This window comes from Homo sapiens, chromosome 6, assembly GCF_000001405.40.
Source record: "Homo sapiens chromosome 6, GRCh38.p14 Primary Assembly".
Classification (NCBI taxonomy): domain Eukaryota; kingdom Metazoa; phylum Chordata; class Mammalia; order Primates; family Hominidae; genus Homo; species Homo sapiens.
The window spans coordinates 144,059,801-144,078,457 of record NC_000006.12 but is presented as its reverse complement, the minus strand read 5'-3'; the positions used below and the strand labels follow the sequence as shown (position 1 = coordinate 144,078,457).

General features: G+C 43.0%; 1 protein-coding gene across 9 annotated transcripts in view, besides 4 other annotated features; it reads left to right on the top strand.

Annotated features, from left to right (window-relative positions):
- Positions 11,208–11,507: an enhancer, noted in NCBI's record as "active region_25210". NCBI's record gives its function as "activates an Ori minimal core promoter by ATAC-STARR-seq in GM12878 lymphoblastoid cells {active_cell/tissue: GM12878}" and the evidence as "EXISTENCE:reporter gene assay evidence [ECO:0000049][PMID:35858748]".
- Positions 13,740–14,129: a silencer, noted in NCBI's record as "silent region_17636". NCBI's record gives its function as "represses an Ori minimal core promoter by ATAC-STARR-seq in GM12878 lymphoblastoid cells {active_cell/tissue: GM12878}" and the evidence as "EXISTENCE:reporter gene assay evidence [ECO:0000049][PMID:35858748]".
- PLAGL1 (PLAG1 like zinc finger 1) overlaps positions 13,859–18,657 on the top strand; it is a 124,300-nt gene continuing 119,501 nt past the window's right edge. For 7 of the 9 annotated variants that reach the window (NM_001289038.2, NM_001289042.2, NM_001289044.2 and 4 more), the window contains exon 1: positions 13,859–13,990. The gene's annotated coding sequence lies outside the window, so the exon portion shown is untranslated. Of the gene's footprint in view, positions 14,008–18,657 lie in introns of all 9 variants that reach the window. The other 2 variants (NM_001289039.2, NM_001080951.3) reach the window with 1 other exon arrangement.
- Positions 14,180–14,459: a silencer, noted in NCBI's record as "silent region_17635". NCBI's record gives its function as "represses an Ori minimal core promoter by ATAC-STARR-seq in GM12878 lymphoblastoid cells {active_cell/tissue: GM12878}" and the evidence as "EXISTENCE:reporter gene assay evidence [ECO:0000049][PMID:35858748]".
- Positions 15,000–15,049: a silencer, noted in NCBI's record as "silent region_17634". NCBI's record gives its function as "represses an Ori minimal core promoter by ATAC-STARR-seq in GM12878 lymphoblastoid cells {active_cell/tissue: GM12878}" and the evidence as "EXISTENCE:reporter gene assay evidence [ECO:0000049][PMID:35858748]".

The following is an 18,657-nucleotide window of genomic DNA, read 5'->3' as shown; positions in this document are numbered from 1 at the left end:
TATGTACTGCATTTGCTGTATTTTAAGATGTACATGTTTTCTCTTCACATCTTTATATCTCCAAAATCAGGCAGCATCATATAATCACTGTTGGCCCAATGGCAGTCATGACACGGCTTGACTGTGCTTACCCAAATATTAAAAACTCCAAAATCAAGACCTGTCCAAAGGGGTGTCAGCAGCTTGAGAAAAAATCCGGAGACAAATATGGGATCATTTTCTTAGCTCTCAGAACCCAAATTGTAATGGGAAGAGGGGTAGGGACAAGTAGTGAATCTGATATGTTTAGCAACATTTCTGAAGCAAGGGTCAAAAAGCTCTTGCTCTATACTTGCACAGTCAGCTCAACAGCTCAGCACCAATGGCTTTTAGTTCTTTTACGAAGTCTTTTAAGAAATGCTGTGTCATCAACACTCTTGATACCACAAAGAATATAAGAAAGCATTGTGCCTTCAGTTAAGCAGTCACATTTTTTCCTCCTACTGGTATATAAAATAATGGTGCATCCTACATCTGATAGCATTTTAGACTTGATGAAATAAAGTACCAGTTTTTGTCAGGATGGTAAGGATACAAAAATAAAAAAGAACATAGAAGTAAATCACATAAACCTTGCCTTTAAGGAATTTATACTCTAATTGAAAAGTGAAGGCATCTGTATTAGTCTGTTTTCACACTGCTGATAAAGACATACCTGCGACTGGATAATTTATAAAGAAAAAGAGGTTTAATGAACTCACAGTTCCACGTGGCTGGGGAGACCTCACAATCATGGTGGAAGGTGGAAGGTGAAAGGCGCATCTTACATGGCAGCAAGCAAGAGAGAAAGAGAGCCAAGCAAAAGGGGAAACCCCTTATAAAATCAACAGATCTCATGAGACTTATTCACTACCATGAAAACAGTATCGGGGAAACCGCTCATGTGATTCAATTATTTCCCACTGGATCCCTTCCACAAGATGTGAGAATTATGGGAGCTACAATTTAGGATGAGATTTGGGTGGGAGACACAGCCAAACCATATCAGCATCTATTTACTGTGTCTTATATACAGCATTTACTACAAGAGAGGAGATAAAAGAAGACAAGTGAATGGCTCAAGGTTTCTGAAGAGGTAGTGATAACTGGCAGAGAGCAGACCCCTAGAAATGAATAGGGACTCTCTTCTGAAAGAAGTAGTTCTTGAACTTGGCATTTAAGTAAGGATATGGCTCAGGTCAACAAAGATAAATGAGAGAGGGTATTCTAGAAAAAAGAGAATAGAAGGTAAGAAAAAGTGGAAGTATAAATATGTATCTTAGAAGAAAGCCAGTCAAGAGCAGAGCATTCTTAAGGGAAGCTCTGTTGGAGGCCAGATTGTAAAAGAGCCCAAAATGCCAACCCAAGAAGCCGAGACTCAATTCTGGGGGCAATGGGAATTTTTGTGCAGAGATTTACTTGTTCAACGTTGTGCCGCTACAAGTTTAACCCAGAATCAATGTGCAGAAAGAATTGGACAGACAGGAAAGGGCAAGGGCGGTGGAGGGGACAGGGGACAGAATGGAGGAGAAAATTCTGTCATTGAAAAATAAAAACACAGCCAATAATCTAAGAAATAAATAGAAATAAAAATAATAGAAGGAAATAGAAGAACAAAACATTAATTTCAACAACAAAAAATAGTGTTATGGGTTGAATTGTGCCCCCCCCTAAAAATAGTGTGAAGTCCTAACCCAGAGTACCTCACTTGGAATGTGACCCTATTTGGAAATAGGGTCTTTGCATTAATCCATTTTCTGTTGCTAATAAGAGAATACCTCAAACTGGGTAACTTACAAAGAAAGAAATATTTCTTATAGTTATGGAGGCTGAGAAGTTCAAAGCCAAGGGGCTGCATTTGGTAAGAACCTTCTTGCTTGTGGGGACTCTCTGCAGAGTCCTGAGGTGGTACAGGGCATCACATGATGAGGGGGCTGACTGTGCTACCTCAGGTCTCTCTTCCTCTTCTTATAAAGCCATCAGTTCTACTCTCATGATAACCCGTTAATCCATTAATCTATGAGTGGATTAATCCGCTAACCTATGAATTGATTAATCCATTCATGAGAGCATGGCCCTTATGACCCAATCACCTCTTATAGGCCCCACTTCTCAATACAGTCACATTGGGGATTAAGTTTCAACATGAGTTTTGGAGGGGACAAATACTCTAAACGTAATAGTCTTTAAGAAGCAATAAAGTTAAAACTGAGGTCATTAAGATGAATCTTAATACAATATGACTGGTGCCTTTATAAAGAGGAAATATTTGGCCACATAAACAGATGTGCACATAGGAAGAACACAATGTGAGCATGAAGATAGAGATTAGGTGATGCATCTACCAGCCAAGGGACACCAAAGATTGCCAGCAAACTATCAGAAGCTAACAGGCAGCTGTGGAACAGATTCTTCCTCCCAGGCCTCAGACAGAACCAACCCTGGCAACAGCTTGATCTCAGGCTTCTAGCCTCCAGAGCTGTGAGACAATAAGTGTTGGTTAATGTAAGCCACCAGGACTCTGTTCCAGCAGCCCTAGCAAACTAATACAAATAATCTCAGCAACAGTTTTCCGGGTGGTGTCGAGAGGTTTCAGATACAGAGAGGTGTTTTTGCAACAAAACAAAACCCAACCAATCCAATTGCAACTTTAATACAATGTCTTCTTAATCTAGAAGAGCTTTCTTTACAGAAGTCTTTGAAGATCTAAAATGAAATATTCAGCATGAAGGACAAAAAGGCCAAGTGTAACAAGCAACTTTTCACCTAAGTCATTTCACTCTAAGCTGATCTTCAAAATGCAAACTCCACTCTCTTTAGTGTTTTTGAAAGGCATGGTGGACCAAGATAATGTGGCTAAGCTTACACAGAGCTGGTCTAGATTCCTCCAAGGGCACTTATACCCATTATTTTGTGACCTGCTGCAGTTGCTATAAACTAATGGACTAGTTCCATCTGAAGAGACAAAAGAGGAAAATGCTAGACTCTTTCAAATCTCTTGATGGCAGGGGATTTCCACTGTTCTTCAACAGCTTTCTCGGGTCTATCCCACACTGCCCTATTTGGACGGGGATTCCCTAAAGCCCCTCTGTAACTGGAGAAGTTTCCTGGGGTCACTCTGGAAGTGGGCACTGGCCTACACAGGCTGAGACCTGATGAGTTGCTTCCGCCCACCTCCCCACTTAGCCTACTTTAATGCAAACTTTGCACAGCATGGAAATTAAGGGCAAAGACCAAGAGGGCTAAGCTACCTAGATTCAAATCCTGGACCTGAAAGCCCTTGGAAAAGGGACCTAACTGATTTTTGCCTCTGCTTCCTTATTAAACGAGAATAATTCTAAAGCCTATTTCATAGGATTTTTGTAAAGTCTAAAAGGCTTATTACATATAAAGAGTGTAAACATATAAATGGCATATTGTAGGTACTCAATAAATGTAATTATAATATCCTTTATGAAATTTTCATATTATTGAGTGTAGAGAAAATATTTAGAAACTGTATCTGTATAAAAAAGTTATATATATTTATGATAAAAATATGACTATAATATCTATATATACTTGGGAAATAAATCACCTTATTGAGCTTCAGTTTAAAACACAAGATTGCCCACATACACTATTAAGTATAACACGTCTGCACAGACATAAGTTAAAGCCCTCCAGTCACTCAAAAATAAGTGCTTCTTTACCTTTTTTTTTTTTTTTTTTGAGACAGAGCTTGGTCTGTCGCCCAGGCTGGAGTGCAGTGGCATGATCTTGGCTCACTGCAACCTCCACCTCCCAGGTACAAGTGATTCTCTTGCCTCAGCCTCCTGAGTAGCTGGGATTATAGGTGCCCGCTACCACGCCCAGCTAATGTTTGTATTTTTAGTAGGGACAGGGGTTTCACCATGTTGCCCAGGCTGGTCTCGAACTCATGACCTTAGGTGATCCACCCGCCTCAGCCTTTCAAAGTGCTGGGATTACAGGCATGAGCCACTGTGCCCGGCCTAGTGCTTCTTTACTTCTATAAACTTCAAAACCCAGCTCTCATGATCAAAAATGATAATTGATATGTGAAGGTATTTTATTTATTTTAAATGAGTAAATTTTGAAAAAGAGAATGTAGTAGAGAAAACTCTCTCTAACCACATTTTTCCTCTACTCTTACACAACAGTCAACACAGAAGACTCTGTGATCAAATGTGTGGGTTTTTTTTTTTTTTTTTCCCACACACCAAGTAATAGACACAACCTGGGTGTCCTCCAATCCAGTTCTGACACCATTTACCCTAAGACAGTGTCAGATCCCACAGGCTGAGGGCTGAGTCCCAAGATTGCCTCCCCTTACACACACATCAGTCGCAAGTTCCATGACCCTTTCTTTGGGTTCAATTAATTTGCTGGAGCCACTCACAGAACTCAGGAAAACACTTATTTACACTTACCAGTTTATTATAAAGGATACTGCAAAGAATATAGATGAAGAGGCATGTAGGGTGACGTATGGGGAAGGGACGTGGAGCGTCCATGCCCTCCCTGGAGGCCAACCTGCAGGCACCTCAGTGTGTTCAGCTACCTGGAAGCTCTCTGAACCCGTCCTCTTGGGTTTTTTATGAAAGCTTCAAAACATCAGCTTTCCTTACCCCAGGGTGTAGAGTGAGACCCTCTCCTGGGAGGGTTTTAAGACCCACCCACTATCAGACAGGCGGGGAAACAGGAGAGTGAAAGGAAGGCAGGAGAAAGGCAGAGGCCTATCCCTGAGGCCAAATACACCCAACATTAGAACAAAGACTGTAGCAAGGGCTTATGGGAGGTATGAACCAGGAACAGTGGACAAAAACCAATATATATATTTATATATATCTCATAATACCGCAGAGAATGTTCTTACAGTACCGCATACTGAATCAAAGAACTTAGCTATATAAAACAATTATAATCATTTCCTGAATTTTTCTAAAATAATTTTCTTTTATTCAACCCATGTTTATGTGTTGTCAGATCCCTTATTAATGCATCAATCTATTCTTAGGGAAATCATTAGAATATGACTAATTCATCATAATTGGTATCTATTGAAAGATTAAAACCCAACTGAGATGAATCCAGGAAAAAAGGCATCACTGAAAGATGTATTTTTTTGAGTGACTCACACGCAGTGGGAAAAATATACAAAATGCAAAAAACAAAACAGTGGCATCGGTTTACAGAAACGATGAGAATAGAGGAACAAGTTGTTAAACTGTACCACAAGGAAGTAAACAGACAAATGCAGAATGTGGGATGTTTGAATATTATGGATCTGGTTTCTTCCACAAGTTAATGGCATGGAAAATAAAAAGACTAAAAAGGAGTTATGAGCAATAACAACAAAATGCATTGGGTAGAACTTGTGTGGTCCCTGATTAAAATAAAACAAAACAATACCCCTCCCTCCCCAAAAAAAACAGTTGTAAGAACACATTTTTGAGACAATAGAGAAAATTTGAATACAGTATGGGTTTTATACAACACCAAGCTATGACCATCAATTTTGCTAGTGTTATGATCACATTATAACACTATTATATGCTTTATGTGCTAGTATGGATATGCTTATATGCTTCTATTATATACCACTATTATAATAGCATAAGAAAGTAAACAGGAATGAAATAAGCTGATGTCTGGGTTTTGCTTTAAATACTTTAACAAAAGAAAAGAAAAAATATATTAGGCACACATGGCAAAATATTGGTATTTATTGAATTGAGCAATGGTCATATGAGAGTTCATTTTACTACTTTCTCTTCTTTGTATGCTTAAACTTTTCACATGAAAATAAAATTACTTGGACAAATGACAGATATATAGTTTAAAAATGTTACTATTTTCTTCTAGTAGGCAAAAAGATAACTGCATGTAATTTTAGCCTGTAAAAATTAAATTATTAGAGGTAGAAGTTGAATTTTACATCTCGTACTTGTCAAGAGGTTATACAAAAGTACTTTTTTGTAGAATGAATAATATCATTGATACTAACTTAAGTATCTAAATACTACTATTTAAATTTCATTTCTTTTTATGGATTTTCCTTAAAACGGTCACATCTGTGTAATTCCCAAGAGAATAAGATAGGTATCATAAGAATACACATGCCAAGCTTACTCTAAGTGCACTTTTGATAGATTTGGGACATACAATACGGGGAGGGAAGGACAGAGAAGAAACAGAGGCACAAAGTTAGTTTTCAAATGTAGGCATCTGGGAGAATGGCAGTGCTGCTAGAATTATGAAAATTGAAATAAGAAACTAGTTATAGTGATAAGATGCTGAGTTCAGTTTGGAATGTTGAGTGAGAAAGTCTGGTGCGCACTGCAGGGCAAGATGTTCAGCAGGCAGTAAAAAAAAAAAAAAAAAAACAAAAAACAGGTATCTTGTGACTGGGGATCTTTCAGGGCTAGCGATTTGGAATCTGTATGCCTAGAAGTGATTTATTATGTGCTTCCCAAGAACATAAGTGGAAAGGAGAATGAGCGAAGATAAAGGGAAATGTTTCAAGCTAAAATATTGGAAGACCCCCACATTTAAGAAAAGAAAAGAGGAAAGAATGACGATAAAGAAATATTTTGAGTGTTAGGAGAGCCAGGAGATACAGAATCACTGAAGCAAACGGAGGAATTACTTTCTGCTAGGGCTGGCATTATTTCCTCAATGCAGAGATAACAGCTTTGAATGGACAGATAATTTCATGTAGGATTTCCTTTAATTTCTTGATAATTGCTTTGCCTCTGCTTAGGGTTATTAGCTATTTCCTTGGGGCTACTTAGAACCCTGTCCTCCTTCCCCAAGCAAATGCATAGACAGAAAAGATTGAGAGAATATATAAAATGTGTCTTACTCAGTTCAGGCTGCTGTAACAAAAATGCCATAGATGGCGTAGCTTATAGACAACGGAAATTTATTTACCATAGTTTTGGAGGCTGGAATTCCAAAACCAGGGTGCCAGCATGAGTGGGTTCTGGTGAGGGCCCTCTTCCAGGTCCCAGACTGCAGGATTCTCATTGTATCCTCACATGGAGGAAAGAGAGCAAGAGAGATCTCTGAAGTCGCTTCTAGAAGGGCACTAAGCCCATTCATGAAGGTGGCATCCTCATGATCTAATTACCTCCCAAAGGCCCCCACTTCCTAATACCATCACTTTGGGGATTAAGATTCAACATATACATTTTTGGGGGATGCAAACATTCAGCCTGCAACGATTCTACCTAATTTTGGATTATTGATGTATGACATGAGATGCTCAGGTGTCCGGCTTGTTTTGAAGTGTTCAAACTGGTAGACCGTCAAAGAAACTAAGACCACTAAATAGGAGTAATAACAGTAATTTAAATCACGAAGCTAATTTTAAAATCCCCTGTTTCCTTTTTTAAAAAAGAGCCTTTGGGAAGAGAATGTGAAGGGAGAGGCACAGATCAACCTGGTAAATGGTTCAGAACCATTTTTATGGTAAATCATTTGGAAAAGTTAAGATGCTAAAGACTGAGCCCAGTGGCTTGGCAGTTAGAAGACGTCACTGTTGATTGCAAAGAACGGGTAAAGCAGAGTGGTGAGGAAGCCAGATTGCAAGGTGTGGATACTAAGGGGTTCCACAGTGAGTAGGGACAAGAACCAATGGTAATGGGCAGAGACATGCATTGACAAAGTTCAGTGGTGTATTAGTCAGGGTTCTCTAGAGTGACAGAACTAATAGGATAGATGTATATATAAAGAGGAATTTATTAAGGAGTGTTGACTCTCACAATCACAAGGTGAGATCCCACAACAGGCTGTTGGCAAGCTGAGGAGCAAGGAAGCCAGTCTGAGCCCCAAAGCTAAAGAACTTGGAGTCTAATATTCAAGTGCAGGAAGCATCCAGCACAGGAGAAAGATGTAGGCCAGAAGATTAAACCAGTCTAGTCTTTCCACGTTCTTCTGCCTGCTTTTATTCTGGCGGCACTGGCAGCTGATTAGATGGTGCCCACCCAGATTGAGGGTGGGTCTGCCTCTCCCAGTCCACGGAATAAAATGTTAACCTCCTTTGGCAATGCCCTCACAGATACATCCAGAAATGATACTTTGCATCCTTCAATCCAATCAAGTTGACACTCAATATTAAACTTCAGAGGTAGTAAGGGAGCACTGAACTACAAGTCAATAGTTTCAGGAAGTGGCAACGCTGCTGGAAAATTTTATATTAATATTAATGATTATTATTTAAAGAATAATGAAGACATAAGCTTGAAAGCAGAGGCCCAAGAGTCAATAAAGTGGAGGACTCTGAAAATGCAAGTAAAATGTGACAACCAATAGTCTAATCCTGGAGAAGTTTGGGGTTTTGAGCTGAAGTCACAGGGATTAGCTTTTGCAAGGAGAACCATTTTCTCAGAGAAGAAAGAAGAAAAATAAATAATGGAAAGATGCAAAAATATTTGTGAAAGCTCCAGTGGGAAGTATTTCTACTTGAAGAAGAAGGCAATTCACTCTGTTGAGAATGAGGAGGAGGAAAAGTTGAGATCTTGGATGCAAAAGGTTTAGAATTGCAGAGGTAGAAAATGTAATAAAGAGATGATATGGTTTGCTGTATCCCACCCAAATTTCATCTTGAATTGTAGCTCCCATACTCCCCATGTGTCATGGGAGGGACCCAGTGGGAGGTAATTGAATCATAGGGGCAGGTTTTTCCCAGCTGTTCTCATGATAGTGAATAAGTCTCACAAGATCAGATGGCTTTATAAAGGGCAGTTTCCCTGCACACTTTCTCTTGTCTGCCACCATGTAAGACATGACTTTTCTCCTCCTTTGCCTCCCACCATGATTGTGAGGCCTTTCCAGCCACGTGGAGCTGTGAGTCCATTAAACTTCTTTTTCTTTCTTTGTTTTTTTTTTGAGACAGAGTCTCGCTCAGTCGCCCAGGCTGGAGTGCAATGGCACAATCTTGGCTCACTGCAACCTCCATCTCCTGAGTTCAAGCAATTCTCCTACCTCAGCCTCCCGAGTGGCTGGGATTACAGGCACCTGCCACCACACCCAATTAATTTTTGTACTTTTAGTAGAGACGGGGTTTCACCATGTTGGCCAGGCTGGTCTTGAACCCCTGGCCTCAGGTGATCTGACGGCCTTGGCCTCGCAAAGTGCTGGGATTACAGGCTTGAGCCACCGCACCTGGCCTAAACCTCTTTTTCTTTAGAAATTACCCAGTCTTGGGTATTTCTTCATAGCAGTATGAAAATGGACTAACACAAGAGATGATGAAAAAGATGCTAAAAAGCTGTATGTGCTCTTCTGAAATTATATTCAGAGTAGATCCAATCAACATACTCTTTTGATGTCCCAGTAGCACGTAACAATTTGAGAAAGTAACAAAACAAGTGAATGAGGGGAGATTTCTGACTGGAAATGGAGAGAAGTCAAGGAAATGAAGAGTCATGCTTATGGCGGTAAGGAAATAAGTGCACACACGTACACACAAAACCACAGCAACAAAAACTGACCTATAGTGAGTGGAGAGGTAAGGGAAGTCAGAATGGAGGTAATGAACTAAGAAAGTAGGAAGAGGTTCTAGGGATTAAAGGTCACAAAGACATTTTTTAAAATAGGAAGCAAGACAAGGTGGGCAGAATAAGAGGCTGTGGCAACAAAAGGGAATTCTATATCCTTGGAGTAATTTATTCATTAAGGTGGTCCCTTACATTGGTAACTAATGAGTTCCTGGAAATGTGTTTAAAGGCAAAAAACAAAACAAAAAAAAAAATAGAAAAAGAAAAAAACAACAAAACCTGTAGATGTTAGAAATATTTCTCATTACTAGAAAAAAATTTTGATTAGAAAATTTCTCATGATGGTCTCTGTAGGTCCTGGCTCCCTCAGGCTTGAGCGGCCAGGGCTGCCAGTGAGAGTTCTAGCCTGTCAGCCCTCACTCTGGAACCCAAGGCAGGGAGATGGCTGCTGGGGTCAGGCCACCCATGTCCCAGGCACCTGGGTCGATTAAACCCAACTACCAACATCATGCCGTTGTTTAGTTGGAACAGGGTAGGGGGTGAGGATCTTCATCTTCTGTACCTACAGAGGATTTGATTGTATTATTTCACCAAAGAATTGAGGCTGTGTCTGCTGGAACTAACCCCATTCCCCAACCCAGGAGAGCAGGTTCTAGGCACTGGGACATGACCCCTGAGCCTCCTTCATGAGTGCCGTCTGTGTGGAGGCAGAGGTCCAAGAACATGGTTCTTTGGCATGGGGTGGTGGGCGCTGGGACCACAAGCCCCCGGCGTCTGTGCTTCTTTTGATGAGTGGCTAACAGCAACACCCATCACTCAATGGTTGGTGTCATCTCTTAGATCATGACCCAAAATGGAATTTGGTGTATGAAAGGTAGTTGCAGGTTATGGGGCAGGGGGTGCGGTGTGTATTAATAAACAGTGCACAGCTGTACTGATGGTATATAACCAAAGATCTTGTACTTGAAAGTTAAGGACTGCTGGATGCGCTAGTGACATCTGCAAATGAGGGATGTTGTGACTAGGTATACAACTAAGGAAGGCTGTACTCTCAGTCTGGGATTGGGGAATGACTGCTTTAATCTTCAAGCTCAAGGGCCTCACATCTTCTGTAGGTCTTTTAAGAAAGCACCCACAGACCAAACGTGGTGGCTCATGACTGTAATCCAAGCACTTTAGGTGGCCGAGGTGGGCAGATCACCTGAGGTTAGGTGTTCAAGACCAGCCTGGCCAACATGGTGAAACCCCGTCTCTACTAAAAATACAAAAATTAGCTGGGCATGGTGGCATGTGCCTGTAATCCCAGCTACTCAGGAGGCTGAGGCAGGAGAATCGCTTGAACCCGAGAGACAGAGGTTGCAGTGAGCTGAGATTGCGCCACCAAACTCCAGCCTGAGTGATGGAGCAAGACTCCGTCTCACAAAAAAAAAAAAAAAAAAAATTGTTGGGTGTGGTGTCAGGTGCCTGTAATCCCAGCTACTCAGGAGGCTGAGGCAGGAGAATCACTTGAACCTGGGAGGTGGAGGTTGCAGTGAGTCGAGATGGCGCCATCGCACTCCAGCCTGGGTAACAAGAGTGAAACTCTTACTCAAAAAAAGAAAAAGAAGAAGAAAAAAAGTAATGTGAGTCCCTCCTCCCTCCTCGCTCTCACTTTCTGTTCTCCAGCCTGCCATTTCTAGATCAGTTGGTCTAAACCTGTTCTGCTGTGAAGTGCCCAATAGCATGGGCAAAAGAACATGGGCTCTGGTGTCAGCTTGCCTGAATAAGCACTAGAATGGTAGCTGTTATTCCTTTCATTAGAGCGATTTCCTTCCCTCCTCTAAACTTTGGAAAAACCATCTATTCCTTGAAAGTTGTATGTATCCTCCCTCTCTCACTTCCTTTATTGAATTTGTTTTTGAAAGTCTTTGAAAGTTCAATTCCTGCATGAAAGTTCACTACCTGCCTGAAGGAGAAGTAGTGAACTTGCCTTCTTTATCTAAATGTGCAATCTCCCATCTGCCTACCCCATCCGAGCCACAGCTGGACTCACATGTTGTGGGGTGGGAGTGTGCATGGGTGCAAGGTTTATTTTCTGTCTTAACAAAATATTGTTGCTTTTACAGTAATACAATAACAAACTATTTCACAATTTAGTTAGAAAATTTAATGCACTTTTGTAGTTTTATTCATGTTTCTGACAGATATAAAATCTTTCTCTCTGAAGAGGCAACGGAAAGGATGTGTCTCATTCTCCTTCTCCTTATTCCTATGATCCTTTTATTCTTCTCTGTCCTTTCCTGCTTCCACTCTCCTTTTGCTCCCCCTAAAAATTTGATTTGTCCCTTTTATTACCCAAGAGGGAGAACAAAAGTAGAGGGGGGAAAATCTCTTCACGATACTGGCATTTTATAAGAACTACATATTGAAAGGCTGTGACTTAAGAGGCACTACCAACGACCCAAAAGAATTTCACTAATTCTTTTATGAATTCATTCATTCATGCAACGAATGTCCTATTATGTGCCTGGCACTGTAGCAGGCACTCTCCCTTCCTCACCCTAAATAACTAAGTTGTGGATCTAAGCTTTCTGTTTAGTTCTCCTGCAATAGAAACTTAAAATAACGACTTACTTTTGATATACTCTTTTCTTCCACTTTGCAAAACATAAATGACTTCATGTATTTTATTTTATTTTATTTTATTTTATTTATTTTTTGTGAGATGGAGTCTCACTCTTGTTGCCCAGGCTGGAGTGCAATGGCCCTATCTCGGCTCATTGCAACCTCTGCCTCCCAGGTTCAAGCAATTCTCCTGCGTCAGCCTCCCGAGTAGCTGGAATTACAGGTGCCCACCAGCATGCCCAGCTCATTTTTTTGTATTTTTAGTAGAGAAGGGGTTTCACCATATTGGCCAGGCTGGTCTCAAACTTGCCAGCCTCAGCCTCCCAAAGTACTGGGATTACAGGCGTGAGCTACCGCGCCCAGCCTGACTTCATGCATTTAAAATAGTTTCTTCTCTTCTCCCCCAAAGTGCAGAAAAAAGAGCTAAGATTTAGAATCCAGGCAAATCAGGTGGGTTCAAATCCTGACTATCTGTGTGAACTTAGACAACTTAATCTACTTTTGAGTTTTCATTAGTTAATTGAGGGTATTACAACTACAGCATAGAGATTTTGAAATTCAATGAGAAAAAGAATGAAGTGCCTTGAACAGGAAAGTTCCTTTCCTTATGTTGTTGTCTTCGTTTATACGCCCTTTGGGGATAGATTATAAACTCATTCATCTGAAGTGCAGTAGTATTAATAACCAATATAAAAACTAAACACATAGTCCTAACAGAGCAAGCAAATGTGTAACCTGAACACATTTCAGTAAATTTGTTGATTTTCCAGGTATTTCATATGCAGGGCAAGTCTTCTTTGCTGTTGCATGAGCTGGGGAAATTTTGCACTGAAAATTCATTAACAATTCACTCATGGGGGAATTTCTTCTCTTGCCCAAACAACAAGTTATGGTAACATAGTTACATATTCATATTTGTGAGATGGAACTGTGGAAAAAGCGGGTCTTTGCAACGTGGCAGAATTGGGTTTTCGGTGAAACCATGAACAAGTTACGTGACTCCCTGAGCCTCGGTGTTCTGAGCTATAAAACTGGCATATTGCTTACGCACGCGTTGGCATATGAATTGAGTTTAACACGTATTCTAACACCTGGCACATAACTGACAATCAGCATTATTTCCTCCTCTCCCAAGTCCACCTGGCCAGTTACAGGGAAATGATCCCTATAAACAACACCTGCTGAGTGCGCCCCGCACTATGCTAGGCCCCGTTCGCGGCTCACCTCATTTAATTCTCGCACTTAATTAATCTCATGAAGAACATTGCAGAGGCAGTTTGAGACGTGAAGCTAATGAAGCTTAAGCTTCGGGCCCCCTCACGCGCACAGATGCTTGCTAATCCCAGAATCTCATTTTATACTTCCCTTGAAGATTCGCCACCTCTACTCACAGTTGTTTCAGTTTCAAGCCCCACAACACGTGGATTCGCCCCTGGATAGGAATTATTGTTATTATTATTATTAATTTCCCTCCTTTTGCAGAGGGGTAGAGTAGGTTACCTCAGATCACACACTCCTAAGTGGAGGAGCAAGATCTGAACTGAGGCAGCCCGACCCGGAGCCCCAACTCTTAACCGCGGGCGGCGATGACAAGAGTCTCGCGGAAGAGAGGCAAAGTCCCCAACGCGGGGGCGGATAATCATAGCGCAGAAGTTCCCAAGGCGGCTACCGCGGGCCGGCTGGGGTCGGAGGGGGATCGCCCCGCCGAGGCTCCCGCCCCTTCCTCCCCTTCCCCTTTTCCGCGCCGCCGAGTCGGAGCTGCGCCGCACGCCCAGCGGCCGCCCGGACCCGCCGGCCGGAGCTGACCCAGTGGGCCACGGGCTCCGGACTCCAGAACTTTCCAAGCGGGGGAAACTTGGCGGCGGGTAGGTAGGAAAGGCAGGTGAGGCAGGGGCGAGCGAGAGAACTGGCTGGCAGCGGGGCGGGGAGCCGGGGGCGCGGCGTTAAGGTGGGCGCGTGGGGCGGGGGCTCCAACCCGTGCCGCAGGTGCCCACGTGCCGCGCGGAGTCCGCGGGCCAGGCGAGGTAGCCTGGCCGAGGCTCCTGCCTGCGTCCTGCCGGGGATGGCGGTCGGTGCTTGGGACACCGGCGGCCACCTTTGTGCGGCTTGGGGCGCGCTTCCCTTTTCTCCGTCGTCTGCAGCTCTTCGCTTCTGCGCTGGGCGGAGGGCGGGCCGGGTGACGTGGGAGCTGAACAGCCGCCACCTAGCGCCCGCCCCGCCGGCCACTGTCCCCGCGCGGAGGCAGGTCGCCGCCTCCCGGGTCCTGTGCTCTCCGAGGCTGGGGGCGGGGCTGTCTGCGCAGACGGCGGGGTGATCATTGCTGAACCACCCCAACGGGAGAATCTCAAGTGCCAGCTTAGCCCGTCTCCCAGAGACTGAGTTAATGGGAACAAAGTGACCGAGTTGCGGCGGGGAGGTCCCCGCAGACTCCGGGAGAAAAGAGACCTGGGCCGTGGCGTCACCCCGGATTACCGGCGGCGCGCGGGATAATTTCGAGAGCAGGACTCCCCTGATGGGGGCGGGCAGGACACGCCCCGCCACGGTGGGCGTGGGCACTTTGGCGGGTGCACAGCCGTGTTGGGTTTGTAGGGCCCCTGCTGTGTCGAGGACAGAGATACCCCTGGGGCTTCCCGAGTGTTCATGGGTCTAGGAGCGCGGGACCTGTTCATTTTATTGAAAAAGCCAAGTGAAGTGACAACTATGGCAGTTATTCAAGGGTCGTGGCATTGAGCATCTGTGTGGCCACCGAAAGAACAGAACTCCGATGTATTCACGGAATAAATAATGATATGACAGGGTTTATGTTTTGTGCGTCGCTGCCTAACCCGAGGCGCCTCCCAGAAGCACCAGGAGAGCTTTTCAGAACACACCTATTGGGCCCACCCCAGATGTCCTGAATCACGTGAGGGGATAAAGCCCTGGCGTGAGACTTTTTGTAAAAGCTGCCCCGGGGATATGGCTGGGGACGCCTAGTTAGGCATCAGGAAGGAGAAGAACTGGGTTCCACTCATGTGACCTTAAACACATTTTCAGCCCAGTTTTATCATCTGTAAAGTGGCCCCAGAGAACTTGTAATAGAGGTGAAATAGGGTGTATGGAAGTGTGTGGAAAGGGGAGAAATTGGAATACTACAAAGTTCCGGTGCAGGTTGCAACAAATAAATTCATTCTTTGGTTCTGCAAGTGATCTTTGGGCTGAGTGAGAGGAGTGTGGCAGGATACCCTTGCCACGGGAAGGAAAGGAGGGCTGGTTTTCAGGTGATCAACTCTGTGACAACGTTGGTGTAAACTGTAACTCAGAAAATTGTCAGCAGGATGAAAAGTGAGCCAGCTCCAGCCGGTGGAGGATGGTTTGAAAAAGGCACCATTTCTGCTTCCTCTTCTCAAGAACCAAAGGCTTTAGATTATTTTCCTGCAAGCAAATTAAGAGCCAGTAATCGCCAATGTGTCCTGCCCTATGGTAACCCCGGTCTGTCTGAAGGCTGCATGTTTTTCTGCTAAATGTGAATTTCTGTTCCATCATTCAACAGACATGTGTTGGGGATCTTCATGTACCGGGCATTCTTGGAATATAAAGATGAATAAATGCTGTTTTTTTGCCCTAGCCCTCTCTGTTAAGTTGGGGAGACTAATGTGAAAACAGGCTGCAATATAACCCGGCTACGATGATAACTAAGGTAGAAAATGAACAAAGTGCTGCGTGGCCCAGAGAGAGGGGCAGCTCCCTAGGTTTGGGGGGAAAAGCATCCAAGGGAGGCAAAAACAGGGACGGGTAAACAGTGCCCTTCTGTACTAGCCACACATATAATTGAGGATTCACTGTATAGTCAAATCTGTGTTTTTTTTTTTTTTTTTTTTTTTTTGGTCTGATAACATTCTAGTGTAATTATGTGCTGATAATCTAAAAATGGAAATGACTTTGTTTCATGATGTCTCTCTCTTTTTTTTTTTTTGTTTGAGACGGAGTCTCACTCTGTCACCCAGGCTGGAGTGCGGTGGCGTGATCTTGGTTCACTGCAACCTCTGCCTCCTGGGTTCAAGTGATTCTCCTGCCTCAGCCTCCCAAGTAGCTGGGACTACAGGCGCGTGCCTCCTCACCTGGCTAAGTTTTTGTATTTTTAGTAGAGACAGGGTTTCACCGTGTTAGCCAGGATGGTCTCCATCTCATGACCTCGTGATCTGCCCGCCTTCATCTCCCATAGTTCTGGGATTATAGGCATGAGCCACCGTGCCCGGCCCATGATGTCTGTTTTTTAAGTTTGCTAAGCATTCTGTCATTTCATCTTCATAAAAGTCTCAGCTATGTCTAAAGTTAACCTAATAAAGGGGTGGTTAAAAAACAAAACAAACAAAAAAGAAAAAGCTCAAAATGGGTCCTACATTCATAGTAAATATAATTGATACATTGTTTTAATTGCATGCACTTTCAAGTTGTAGGGGTTTGTTCTCATGTTAATTACAGAAGGTTGGAATGACAACAGAGGAGAAGTGCACAAAAGGAAAATCGTAAGAGGAATTAAAAAAAGGAATAACTAGAAGAGGGAGATTGGGAGGAGGAAGGAACTTGATAAAATTGATGGTGGGAGGTGGGGAGTAGAAAAGGAATAAGTGAATCAAATCTGGCTGCCAACTTCTTCCTCAGGGACTTATTTTTTCATATACATTTTAATAAAACTGTATAGATTTGTAGTTTTAAAGTTATTTCAAAATATAGAGGGAGGCAGTATAATGTGGAAGTTAAACATGGGCTAAACAAGTTTGAATAACTTACTGGCTGGTGACCTTGAACAAGGTCCTCAATTAGCTGTGTCTGCTCATTGTACAATGGGGATATAATAATATGATCTACAGGAGACTTATGAGGATTAACAGCTACGATGTTTCAGAGGCACCTGGCTGTGAAAAGGCCACATTCAGGAGTGGCTGCTCTCTTGTTCTTACCTCACTTTGTTTGATCCTGGTGGAACTTGGTAGGTTGCACAGATAGACTGTCCTGTTCCAGTTGTAGAAAGAAATTGGAATTGGAAGAGACTGACTTGCTAACGTCATATGGCTGATGGGTAACTGAAGTGAAATGAGAGGCTCCCTTTTGGAATTTAGTCCTGCGTGTTTCTTCTGCTCCATGCTATGGTTGGCTCTCTTCTGGCTGTTGTGACTCTCCCTGGAGTGAAAAGGAACAAAGGCTGTAATCATGCATGTCTGTTACAACTCTTCTACTCACACTGTCACCCAGTACCTTTCCACTTCCAATTGTAAATTTCTTTGAAAATTACATTTTTCTTTCTGAGGCTTATAAGTGGAGGTCTCCTTTTGGGGGCAGGGGAGAGAAATGGTGGAAAAGCTATAAGGAAGTCATATATGGGAGAGCTTTAGAAGGGGGAACCCCTCTAACTTCCAATAACATACTGAAATATTACTAGAGAAATAGTCAGCTTTATTGTTTAGCAACTCAACTGCTTTTTTTCTGCAGCTGGTAGTTCTGGTGTCAGAAATAATATTTTCTTGCATATCCTTTCACATAGGTCTGATCTCTGAAGAGGTCGGGGAGGGGACCATGGATCTATATGGAGATGAGGGATGTGGGTCAAATTTTAATTAGAATGGTAATGGGTAATTTGGAATGGAAAAGTGTGAATAAGAATCTCTTCGTTGAAAAATAAGGACACAGGAAAGTGTAAAGAATGCTTTGGAGAATACTTCCCAGTGTTGGTTCATTTTTTTCTTGGGAAGAGGCAGATTTAATCTCCATAGATCACCACCTTTCTAGTTTTAGATGCACGTGGCCCCTACTTTCATGTCTTCCAATTCAGCATTTTTAACCTTCTCAATCAAGTAATCAAAAAATGTATAACATACCAGCCCTGTGTCTAGGATAATATTGGGTGCTATATGTAATACATGAAGGTGGAAAGTCAACATTTAACCTGGGGAGCAATGAGGAAACCAACTAGGTGAAATAAATATAAATGCTAAATGCTGTGACACAGGCTGGCCCAGTGGCTCATGCCTGTAATCCCAGCACTTTGGGAGGCCAAGGTGGATAGATTGCTTGAGCCCAAGAGTTTGAGACCAGCCTTGGCAACATGGTGAAACCCCACCTCTATTAAAAAATACAAAACTTAGCTGGGCATGGTGGACTACGCCTGTAGTCCCAGCTACTTGAGAGGCTGAGGTGGGAGTATTGCTTGAGTCTGGGAGGTCGAGGCTGCAGTGAGCTGTGATCACACCACTGCACTTCAGCCTGGGCAACAGAGTAAGACCCTATTTAAAAAAAAAAATGGTGTGGCACAACTTCCTGAAAGGAAGGGATCAGAGGGTTCTCATAAAATTTGAGAAAGCTTCGTGGAGGAGTAAGGAGGACTTGCTCTTGCTAGATGGGGGGAAATGACCTTTCAGACCCTTGGCCACCTGGGGACAGTGAAGTGGCATTAGGGACAGAGAAATAAACAGTAAAGGTACTAATAACCTTGAGGTTATCTCCCAAAATGGACCTCAAGGCTGATCTCTCAAAAAGGCCCTAGGTACCCCAAAAG